This window comes from Homo sapiens, chromosome 5, assembly GCF_000001405.40.
Source record: "Homo sapiens chromosome 5, GRCh38.p14 Primary Assembly".
Taxonomy (NCBI): Eukaryota; Metazoa; Chordata; class Mammalia; order Primates; family Hominidae; genus Homo; species Homo sapiens.
In genome coordinates this window covers 55,805,571-55,818,233 of record NC_000005.10, presented here as the reverse complement: position 1 = coordinate 55,818,233, position 12,663 = coordinate 55,805,571, and the positions used below count along the sequence as shown (strand labels likewise).

At 37.9% G+C, this 12,663-nt stretch overlaps 1 protein-coding gene across 7 annotated transcripts in view; it reads right to left on the bottom strand.

The window, feature by feature from the left end:
- Window positions 1-1,076: 1,076 nt before the first annotated feature.
- DDX4 (DEAD-box helicase 4) overlaps window positions 1,077-12,663 on the bottom strand; it is a 79,097-nt gene continuing 67,510 nt past the window's right edge. For all 7 annotated transcript variants that reach the window (XM_024446119.2, NM_024415.3, NM_001142549.2 and 4 more), the window contains 4 exons: window positions 4,462-4,561; window positions 3,063-3,333; window positions 2,811-2,921; window positions 1,077-1,771 (listed from right to left, as the gene is read on the bottom strand). In XM_024446119.2, the coding sequence (XP_024301887.1) occupies window positions 1,694-1,771; window positions 2,811-2,921; window positions 3,063-3,333; window positions 4,462-4,561 (560 nt within the window). In that variant the 3' untranslated portion in view covers window positions 1,077-1,693. The remainder of the gene's footprint in view (window positions 1,772-2,810; window positions 2,922-3,062; window positions 3,334-4,461; window positions 4,562-12,663) is intronic.

Genomic DNA, 12,663 nt, shown 5'->3' with positions numbered 1-12,663 from the left:
TTAGTATATCCACATATAAAGAACACTGATAACCACTGTGGTCACAGTAATATTTTTCCTTGTCTACTTTTCACTATTTTTTATGTAGGCAACTAATCTTTCCTTGAGTGATCAAATCTGTTGTTTCTTTTTTGATTTCTGTTCCTTAGCTTAAAGTCAACCCTTCAAAGGGTTAATATTTAACTATTAGCTTTAATATTTTATAATTCACATGAAGTTAATTTTAAATATGGCATGAGGTAGGCATCTACCCAGTTATTCTAACACTATCTGTTGATATGCCTTCCTTTTTCATATGTGATGCCTCATTTATTAACTAAATTCCTATAACAAGATATACATCAGGGACATGTCACTTTGGATTGTTTAGGTGAACAGTAACACTTAATACCAATCATTTTTGTCTCCCCAGTATTTACACCTCACTGGGTCTTAAATATTTGGGTTCGTTCATTTAACAATTAATTAATAACTTCGGGCTGGGTGCGGTGGCTCACGCGTGTAATCCCAGCACTTTGAGAGGTGGAGGCGGGCGGATCACGAGGTCAGGAGTTCGAGACCAGGCTGGCCAACATAGTGAAACCCGTCTCTACTAAAAATTAGCTGGGCATTGTGGCGCGTGTCTGTAATCCCAGCTACTCGGGAGAGGCTGAGGCAGGAGAACTGCTTGAACCCGGGAGGCAGAGGTTGCAGTGAGCCAAGATCACGCCATTACACTCCAGCCTTAGCAACAAGAGCAAGACTCCGTCTCAAAAAAAAAAAGAACTTCATTATTCTAGGCATAGTAAGTTCAAGATATATAATGGAAAATGAAGAAAGACAGGGTTCTTTCATCAATCTTAAAATATGAATCAAAAACTTATGGAAAGAGTAAGCAGCATTGTTTTTTGTTGATAAACGGGTTTGAGTTCTAAGATTGATTTTCATTGCCACATCTGTGCAGTAATGTTTATACATTAATATTTAATTTATGTAAGACTTTGTTCACTGCACTGGTTACGCAAGACACAAAAAAACAGTTTCAAAAATATAGGAGTTTGGGCTAGGATATGCAACAAAGAAAAATTTAAAGTGCTGATGGAAAACTTAAGGGAAAAGTGTTTCATCCTTTATTTCAAGGAAAGATTGTATATTATAAAAATAAACATTGTTATGCCATTGAGTACAGAGCTCCCATCACAAACATTTAACCATTTTCATCATACATCTGATGATCTAAAAATCAAAATCACTTTGAAAGGCTTAAGTATTCTACTTTCTCTTAAAGATTATCACATTATAGTGACACACTACTGTTTTAAAGACTCAAGTAAAAATGAGACCCAGTAATTTTTAACCAAAAGTGTATCATATCCTATTTGCTTGTTTTATAAGATCAATAAACACTATAGTAAGACTTGGCATTTAAACATTAAACATGTCTAAGCCCCCTAAAGAATATACCAGAAATAAGAAAGACATTTAGAATGCTTTAATATTCCCAGTTAACACCATTTGTATCAGTAACTGCAATGTTGTAAGTTTTAGCATCTCACATAACTAGTCAGTAAGGATTTTTTTTTTAAGTGTAGGAGTGAGAATACAAGGACAGGAGCTATGAGAATGTTAAGTTTTATACTTCTGTTAAAAACTCAAAAATCAAAACTATTTTCTTCTCTGCATCAAAACCACAGACTTGAAGGATGTTTTGGCTTTAATCCCATGACTCATCATCTACTGGATTGGGAGCTTGTGAAGAAGAAAACCCAGCTGTGTTCAAAGTGCTCTTGCCCTGGTAATTATTTAAAAAAAAAAAAAAAGAAACAAACAAACATTTAATTTTATGACAGCTTTAAAGTTACATCACTCAGACTGAGAGCAAGGACTCAAAGTATCTACCATGTCTTCCCCAAATAATCAAAGAACTTTATTCTCACTAAATCTGATTCACCTGAAAAAAGGCTCCTGTCAAATGAGGAAATCTAAATTGCACAAAATGTTTCAAGAAAAATATTTTTTAAGTCAATAGTTTTGACAAGTGGGGAAAACTTAATGCACTACACTCAATGAATCAGCATAAATATTTAATTAACATGCTCATTGTTTCTGAATAAAGGCGGTGTTCAGCCTATAAAAACCTGACATACCAGAAAAGACTTGTAGCCTCGTGGCTGGGCGCAGTGGCTCACGCCTGTAATCTCAGCACTTTGGGAGGTTGAAGCAGGTGGATCACTTGAGGCCAGGAGTTTGAGACCAGCCTGGCCAACATGGTGAAACCCTGTCTCTATTAAAAATACAAAAAAAAAAAAAAAAAAAACCAGCTAAGATGGTGGCACATGCCTGTAATCCCAGATACACTGGAGGCTGAGGCATGAGAATTGTTTGAACCTGGGAGGCGGAGGTTGCAGTGAGCCAAGATCATGCCACTGCACTCCAGCCTGGACAACAGAGCCAGACACTATCTCAAAAAAAAAAAAAAAGAAAAGAAAAAGAAAAGACTTGTAACCCCAACAGGTCCTGTATTTTATATTAATTAATGTTGTCAGAATTCAAAAATTAAATAATTCCATCAGAAGTTTAAAAGATTCCAAATTAAAATTTAAAATCTGGGAAAGGAGACTGTTTAGGCATAAATCTCAAAGTTAATTCCTGACCTTTAAAACCAAAAATATGTATATACATAAAATGTTAATGAAATAATAAAGTAGCTACCTTCCAGGCACGAAAACAATGGCTTGATTATTAAATATTATAGTTACTTCACAATATTAAGCACAACATTTACAAAGAGTAACTAGAAGACAAGTTCTCAAGTTTTCCTTTCTACTAACCTTTCTGGTATCAACTGATGCAAACACGTTTCCTCTTGTACTACCACTGAAGCCAGGAATGTATGTACTAAAGGCAATTTCTTCCAACCATGCAGGAACATCCTGTTGAGCCTTTAAAAAAAATTGACTTCATATGCAACATAAAGTATTAAATATTGGAAAAGTTTACTTGTTATATACACATGCATAAAATGTCTACTTTCAACAACAAAGTAAGAAAACTATCCATTCCATCATAAAAGTTTAACTTACATCTGTCAATACTTTTACTAGAGGCTGTGCTAAATGGTTATCCGATTCAAGATCAAAAAAGGAAATTGCTCTGCCAGTATTCCCACAACGACCAGTACGCCCAATTCGATGAACATATTCATCAATGGTAGAAGGAAGATCAAAATTGATAACATGTTGCACATTTTCAATATCCAGCCCTCTGGCAGCTACTGAAGTAGCAACAAGAACTGGGCACTTTCCAAAGCGAAAATCTCCAAGAGCTTGCTCCCGCTCTCTCTGTTCCCGATCACTTGAAAGAAAAGAAAGCATGTTATTAGAACCACTCTTAAAATCATTAAAGTGAATCATTAAAGTTCAACATACAAATTTCTTTTTAATAATAGTATGAATAGCAGCATTTGGCTGGGCGCAGTGGCTCACACCTGTAACCCCAGCACTTTGGGAGGCTGAAGCAGGTGGATCACAAGGTGAGGAGATCGAGACCAGTCTGGCCAACATGATGAAACACCATCTCTATTAAAGATACAAAAAATTAGCTGGGCATGGTGGCATGCACCTGTAATTCCAGCTACTAGGGAGGCTGAAGTAGGAGAATCACTTGAACCGGGGAAGCAGAGGTGAGCTGAGATCGTGCCATTGCACTCCAGCCTGGATGACTGGGCAAGACTTTCTCAAAAAAAAAAAAGAATAGCAGCATTTAACATTAATGTTCACTTCTTACATACCAGGTACTATACTAATTCCTTCCAAGCTACCATTTTATTTAATCCTCAATATAATACTTTGAGTTGCAAAAATTATCCCCATTTGCAAATGAGGTAAAGTAACAGCTAATATGTAGAGACAGACTACAATCTCAAGTCTGACAAAAATCAAATCCTATTATAATCTCTATGCTTTATAGTCTTGACATAAAATATACAACTACTTGATTAGAATGCTTGCTTAAAAACATATTTTTAAAGTATAATTTCACAACACTATATACTACGTGATATTTTAGGATCTACTAATGAAGTGCCCATAAAACGGTATTAATATGACATTTTAAAGCACTCCAATTTTAAAAAGCTCTAAGAAAGATTAGATTTAGCAAAGGAAAATTTGATAAGGGGCCAGAGATCCTTAAGTGAGATCTCTTGAGAAATTTCCACTCCTTATTTTGAGAGTAAGGCAGACCTTTATCTTACCCACCACAACCACTTAGTTCTAAAAACTAAGAATGAGGATGAAAAATAATAGTTTAGTACTCCTGGGTATTATCCTTTTCCTCATATAAAGGAGAATAACAGTTTAGATCTGAGAGAATTCTGAATCCCAATCCTAGGATTATATCATATTAGTTATATAAACTGATGTTTCTTAAATACCAAATAGAAGTCATTCCCCTAATAGGTAATTATATTCATCTACTCACCCATGAATACTTGTAGTTGATATTTTTTCTTGACAAAGAAAAGTTGCAATAAAATCTGCTTTTTTCTTAGTTTCAACAAAGACCATAGTTCTTTCATCCCCTACAAGACAATGAAATTATTAATATTCAAACTTCAAAATCAGGAAATGAAAAATAAAGCAGGGATAGGAGGCAGTGCTTGAATATGAAACTTTGTCCACCACTGTATTTACTACCAGCACCACAGCCAAGCCTGGTACATAAGAGGGACTCTAATTCCAGAATGGATGTCAAAGACACAGGACTGTTTTCCTAGTTGAGGGATTTAAAAAATTAGCTTCTCTTTCCTCCTCCCAGGCCAACACAAGAAGTAGAACCTTAGGGAAAGGTAAATCATATCTGCCTGCCAACTCTTAGTAATATAAAATTGTCTCAGTCCTTTCCTCCCCTCCATTTCCCTCGCTCTATAAATGTTTTTTGCTGTCTACCTCTCAAGATAATCCAATCTTTCATTCTCCCATGATTGCCTGAGGTGTTTACAATAGTGGCATCTGACCTGGGGCTGCTTAACTCTATATAATTAGTGTTCCAAACATTATCTCTAATTCAAATCCCTTCATTCCCAAAATATCTTACATATTAAAAAATTAAATGACAACCTTATCCCAGGGTCTTAACTTGTTAAGGAATATTTACTCCTTAAAATATTTAACCGGTAGAAATTCAAGCATGGGCCGGAGATTTTCCCACACAGGGAATTTCCCTATAAAATGTTGGAGAAGAAAGATAATTTATAGCTTTAAAGCATATAAAAATGTATTACTGTTCATAATCTCTCTCCCCATTTCTCTGTAATCTCACTTCATTCATTTATTCAGCAAACATTTAGTGCCTACTAGATGCCTGTCATGTTTCTGTTGGAAATGCGGAAATAAAAGCCCCTGCTTTCACTATGGGGAGGCAAATAAATATTACGCATTTAGTACTAAAAAGGAAAAAATCAGCAAGATAAAGGGTCCAGAGATGATTACTTTAGATACTTTAAGACAGGCTTATTAGACAGGCCTACTTTAGATACCCCAATTAGATGGTATCTTAGTAAAGATATAAAGATAGTGAACTGTGCAGGTATCTAGGAAAAGAGCTTAAGGAAGAGTGAAAGACAAGTCTAAGCCTCTGAGAAATGCATTTTTTTTTTTTTGAGACGCAGTCTCGCTCTGTTGCCCAGGCTGGAGTGCAGTGGCGCAATCTCGGCTTGCTGGAGTGCAGTGGCACAATCTCGGCTCACTGCAACCTCCGCCTCCCGGGTTCACGCCATTCTCCTGCCTCAGCCTCCTGAGTAGCTGGGACTACAGGCACCTGCCACCACACCCAGCTAATTTTTTTTTGTATTTTTAGTAGAGACGGGGTTTCACCGTGTTAGCCAGGATGGTCTCAATCTCCTAACCTCGTGATCCGCCCGCCTCGGCCTCCCAAAGTGCTGGGATTACAGGCGTGAACCACCGCGCCCGGCCCCTACGGAAGTATTAACACATTAAATTACAAAGTCTCTTAAAGGAATTCTATTCAAATTTGTTTATAAAGATGAATAAAAGAGAAATGTTATCAAGGTAAATATTCCTAAAATCTCAGAAAGTAAAGAAATTGAACTTGCACTTTTGAAAAATATACTTTAAACTATATTAAACTTTTGAAAAAACGTATTACAAGAATCAGAATCATTTTAAGAATCCAAGTTTACATAATTAAGTGAAATCTTTGGTAAATGAGACTAATACCTTTAGTTTAAAAAAAACCAAAACATCTTCTCCCTATTATCAGTGTAAAGCTTAATACACTTACTCTACTTGGGTTTGTTTTTCCTAATGTATAGAGGTTTACTAGCCAAATAAGCTAGTATTATTCCTTCATGATGTTTAAGAGTATGAAAACGGAAATCTGTGTTCAACTAAATTTAGTCATTTATTCAACAGTATTTATGTTTTGAAAAACATCATCTTGAAGATAATTTCCAAAATCTTCAGGTAACTGAAAACAGTAGACAATGCTTGTGTATGACATCTCCCAGTTTCCCATCTCCCTGCTCCCAATTTCCTTTATGAAATAGAAGTTACTATGATTAAAAGATATAATTAACATAAGTGGTTGCAACTACACTAGGAATAACAGTGACAGAAATAAAAACTGTAATTGCTTTTGCTTCAAGGAAAAAAAGTAGTTTAGTGGCTTTCAAACATTTTGGTCAGTGTTACCTTTAAACTCATAAAACACTGACAATCCTGGAGTTTTTCTTGTGTGTTTTGATATTTACCATATTAAAAATTAACACCAAGATAATCTTTATTTGAACAATATTTGCATATTAAAATAAATAATTCTTAGTATAATCATGAAAATTATTTTTACCTTGCAGACCCAATTAGGGGATCTTAGAGAACCTGGGGGAGACACATTTTGTCCTAAAATGTCAGTTTGTTCCAGAAAACTGAAAAAGCACAATGAAAGATAAAACTTGGAAACTGAATTTTATCTGCTTTGATTTAAAACACTTGGGTTAAAATAAGCTATAAAAGGTGTTAATATTCTAGCAAAGGTCACTCAGTTTGTATGGAATTACTTTCTTAATTTACTGTTTAATGCTTTCGCTTATGAGAGTTTTTTTTCCTCAGAGCCATTACACTGGATAAAAAGTTATTCTTTACCTTCCTTGTAATCAGCCTAGACAGCAGAGATTCTGTTGACTTTATTAGGTCTGTTTAAAAAAAAAAAAAGACTAAAGAAGGGAAAAAAAGAAGAAAAAAAGACTAAAGAGAAAAGGTTCCCTATTTATGAAAGAGCTGTGGTTATTTACAACCATGTCACTTTCTATGTTTACTTCTAAATGTTTTGTCACTTCAATTAAATTGATAACCAAATAGTTTTTCTGATACCCACGAATCCTACACTAATCAAATATTCAACTCTCCTCTGACAACTCCTTTTGTCTTTTTAAGATCAAATTAAAAATTTAGAAGAAGAAATTCACCCAGAAAACTTTTGAGATTTCTCAGAGAGAGCCCCAGGAAAAGCACAAAGGTTTATTATTTCATTATAAAGGAAGGGATTCTAGAAATTATTTTTTTTAGATGTATTACTATTTAAGAGTTGTATGGTAAGAGTTGTCAAACCAGAAAAGACTACACTTTTCCAAGATTAAAGAGAATAGATAAAATGTTAATACACGTTGAGCATTCCTAATTTGAAAATCCAAAATCCCAAACTCTTTGAGTACTGACATGATGCTCAAAGGAAATGCTCACTGGAGCATTTCAGAGTTTTGGATTAGGGATGATCAAGTGATAAACGTACTGCAAATATTCCAAAAGTTAATTAAAAAAAATCCGAAACATGGCTAGGCATGGTGGCTCATACCTGTAATTCCAGCACTTTGGGAGGCCAAGGCGGGCGGATCACCTGAGGTCAGGAGTTCTAGACCAGCCTGGCCAATGTGGTGAAACCCCATCTCTACTAAAAATACAAAAATTAGCCAGGCGTGATGGCAGGTGCCTGAAATCCCAGCTACTGGGGAGGCTGAGGGAGGAGAATCGCTTGAACCCAGGAGACAGAGGCTGCAGTGAGCCAAGATCACGCAGTCACACTCTAGCCTGGGCGACAAGAGCGAAACTCCGTCTCCAAAAAAAGAAAAAAAAAATATGAAGCACTTCTGGTCTCAAGTATTTTGGATAAGTGATACTCGGCCTCTATTTTTTGTGTGTGTGTGTGTATGCTTTACGGGAGTCCCTCATGATTTGTAAGTTCTCTCACCATCCAAAGTATACTTTTACCCTCAGGAGAAACACTGCTCAAAATTCTATAAAGTAATTCTATAGAGTTTCCCTATATTTATCAAAGTCTTGAAGGTATGCTGCCTGATGCAATAGTACAGTGTTGCCAGTCATAATTTCACTTTTTAAAACGTCTCTAACCTTACCTCTTTCCTAACTTGAATCTAACATCTTCTTCAGTGGTTCTTCACTAGGGATGTACATCAGACTTACACATGGCATTCTGTAAAAATATAAATGTCTGGACCCTATTCTACATCTACAGGTGAACTCAGTTCCCATTTTGTCTTTCATTGTGCTTTTTCAATGTTCTGGAACAAACTGACACTTTATGACAAAGTAAGTCTTTCCCAGAGTCTCCAAGATCCTCTAAAGAGGTCTGAGAGGTAAAAACAATGATTTCATAATTATACTGCTAAATCTATTTACTTTATATTCTTGATATGAAAAATTATATCTGCTCATTTTCATAAATCAGGTTTCTTCTTTGAAAATAAGCTTAATCAGGGGTGGAGCCAAGATGGCCAAATAGGAACAGCTCCAGTCTACAGCTCCCAGCATAAGTGACGCAGAAGACGGCTGATTTCTGCATTTCCAACTGAGGTGCCGGGTTCATCTCACTGGGGAGTGTCAGAAACTGGGTGCAGGACACTTGGTGCAGCACACTGAGCGTGAGCTGAAGCACGGCCAGGCATCGCCTCACCTGGGAAGCGCAAGGGGTCAGGGAATTCCCTTTCCTAGTCAAAGAAAGGGGTGACAGACGGCACCTGGAAAATCGGGTCACTCCCACCATAATACTGCACTTTTCCAATGGTCTTAGCAAAGGGCACACCAGGAGATTATATCCCACACCTGGCTCAAAGGGTCCTACCCCCATGGAGCCTCGCTCATTGCTAGCACAGCAGTCTGAGATCAAACTGCAAGGCAGCAGCGAAGCTAGGGGAGGGGCACCTGCCATTGCCTAGGCTTGCTTAGGTAAACAAAGCGGCCAGGAAGCTCGAACTGGGTGGAGCCCACCGCATCTCAGGGAGGCCTGCCTGCCTCTGTAGACTCCACCTCTGGGGGCAGGGCACAGACAAACAAAAGGCAGCAGAATCCTCTGCAGACTTAAATGTCCCTGTCTGACAGCCTTGAAGAGAGTAGTGGTTCTCCCAGCACGCAGCCAGACATCTGAGAAGGGACAGACTGCCTCCTCAAGCGGGTCCCTGACCCCCAAGGAGCCTAACTGGGAGGCACCCCCAGTAGGGGCAGACTGACACCTCACACAGCCAGGTACTCCTCTGAGACAAAACTTCCAGAGGAACGATCAGGTAGCAATATCTGCTGTTCACCAATATCTGCTGTTCTGCAGCCTCCGCTGCTGATACCCAGGCAAACAAGGTCTGGAGTGGACCTCCAGCAAACTCCAACAGACCTGCAGCTGAGGGTGCTGACTGTTAGAAGGAAAACTAACAAACATAAAGGACATCCACACCAAAACCCCATCTGTACGTCACCATCATCAAAGACCAAAGGTAGATAAAACCACAAAAATGGGGAAAAAACAGGGCAGAAATACTGGAAACTCTAAAAATCAGAGTGCCACTCCTCGTCCAAAGGAACGCAGCTCCTCACCAGCAATGGAACAAAGCTGGACGGAGAATGACTTTGACGAGTTGAGAGAAGAAGGCATCAGATGATCAAACTACTCAGAGCTAAAGGAGGAATACAAAGCCATGGCAAAGAAGTTAAAAACCTTGAAAAAAAATTAGACGAATGGCTAACTAGAATAACCAATGCAGAGAAGTCCTTAAAGGACCTGATGGAGCTGAAAACCAAGGCATGAGAACTACAGGATGAATGCACAAGCCTCAGTAGCCGATTCAATCAACTGGAAGAAAGGGTATCACTGATGGAAGATGAAATGAATGAAATGAAATGTGAAGAGAAGTTTCGAGAAAAAAGAATAAAAAGAAACGAACAAAGCCTCCAAGAAATATGGGACTATGTGAAAAGACCATATCTACATCTGATTGGTGTACCTGAAAGTGACAGGGAGAATGGAAGAAAGTTGGAAAACACTCTGCAGGATATTATCCATGAGAACTTCAATCTAGCAAGGCAGGCCAACATTCAAATTCAGGAAAGAGAGAACGCCACAAAGATACTCCTCGAGAAGAGCAACTCCAAGACACATAATTGTCAGATTCACCAAAGTTGAAATGAAGGAAAAAATGTTAAGGGCAGCCAGAGAGAAAGGTCGGGTTACCCACAAAGGGAAGCCCATCAGACTAACAGCTGATCTCTCGGCAGAAACTCTACAAGTCAGAAGAGAGTGGGGGCCAATATTCAACATTCTTAAAGAAAAGAATCTGCAACCCAGAATTTCATATCCAGCCAAACTAAGCTTCAAAAGTGAAGGAGAAATAAAATACTTTACAGACAAGCAAATGCTGAGACATTTTGTCACCACCAGGCCTTCCCTAAAAGAGCTCCTGAAGGAAGCAATAAACATGGAAAGGAATAACCGGTACCAGCCACTGCAAAAACATGCCAAATTGTAAAGACCATCAAGGCTAGGAAGAAACTGCATCAACTAACGAGCAAAATAACCAGCCAACATCATAATGACAGGATCAAATTCACACATAACAATATTAACCTTAAATGTAAATGGGCTAAATGCTCCAATTAAAAGACAAAGACTGGCAAACTGGATAAAGAGTCAAGACCCATCAGTGTGCTGTATTCAGGAGACCCAGCTCATGTGCAGAGCCACACATAGGCTCAAAATAAAGGGATGGAGGAAGATCTACCAAGCAAATGGAAAACAAAAAAAGGCAGGGGTTGCAATCCTAGTCTCTGATAAAACAGACTTTAAACCAAAAAAGAACAAAAGAGACAAAGAAGGCCATTACATAATGGTAAAGGGATCAATACAACAAGAAGAGCTAACTATCCTAAATATATATGCACCCAATACAGGAGCACCCAGATTCATAAAGCAAGTCCTTAGAGACCTACAAAGAGACTTAGACTCTCACACAATAATAATGGGACACTTTAACACCCCACTGTCAACATTAGACAGATCGAGACAGAAAGTTAACAAGGATATCCAGGAATTGAACTCAGCTCTGCACCAAGTGGACCTAACAGACATCTATAGAACTCTCCAACCCAAATCAACAGAATATACAGTCTTCTCAGCACCACACCGCACTTATTCCAAAATTGATCACATAGTTGGAAGTAAAGCACTCCTCAGCAAATGTTAAAGAACAGAAATTATAACAAACTGTCTCTCAGACCACAGTGCAATCAAACTAGAACTCAGGATTAAGAAACTCACTCAAAACCACTCAACTACATGGAACCTGAACAACCTGCTCCTGAATGACTACTGGGTACATAACAAAATGAAGGCAGAAATAAAGATGTTCTTTGAAACCAATGAGAACAAAGACACAACATACCAGAATTTCTGGGAGACATTCAAAGCAGTGTGTAGAGGGAAATTTACAGCACTAAATGCCCACAAGAGAAAGCAGGAAAGATCTAAAACTGACACCCTAATATCACAATTAAAAGAACTAGAGAAGCAAGAGCAAACACATTCAAAAGCTAGCAGATGGCAAGAAATAACTAAGATCAGAGCAGAACTGAAGGAAATAAGAGACAAAAAAAACCCTTCAAAAAATCAATGAATCCAGGAGCTGGTTTTTTGAAAAGATCAACAAAATTGACAGACTGCTAGCAAGACTAATAAAGAAGAAAAGAGAGAAGAATCAAATAGATGCATAAAAAATGATAAAGGGGATATCACCACCAATCCCACAGAAATACAAACTACCATCAGAGAATGCTACAAACACCTCTACGCAAATAAACTAGAAAATCTAGAAGAAATGGATAAATTCATGGACACATACACCCTCCCAAAACTAAATCAGGAAGAAGTTGAATCTCTGAATAGACGAATAACAGGCTCTGAAATTGAGGTAATAATTAATAGCTTACCAACCAAAAAAAGTCCAGGACCAGATGGATTCACAGCTGAATTCTACCAGAGGTACAAGGAGGAGCTGGTACCATTCCTTCTGAAACTATTCCAATCAATAGAAAAAGAGGGAATCCTCCCTAACTCATTTTATGAGGCCAGCATCTTCCTGATACCAAAGCCGGGCAGAGATACAACAAAAAAAGAGAATTTTAGACCAATATCCCTGATGAACATTGATGCAAAAATCCTCAAGAAAATACTGGCAAACCGAATCCAGCAGCACATCAAGAAGCTTATCCACCATGATCAAGTGGGCTTCATCCCTGGGATGCAAGGCTGGTTCAATGTATGCAAATCAATAAATGTAATCCAGCATAGAAACAGAGCCAAAGACAAAAACCACATGATCATCTCAAC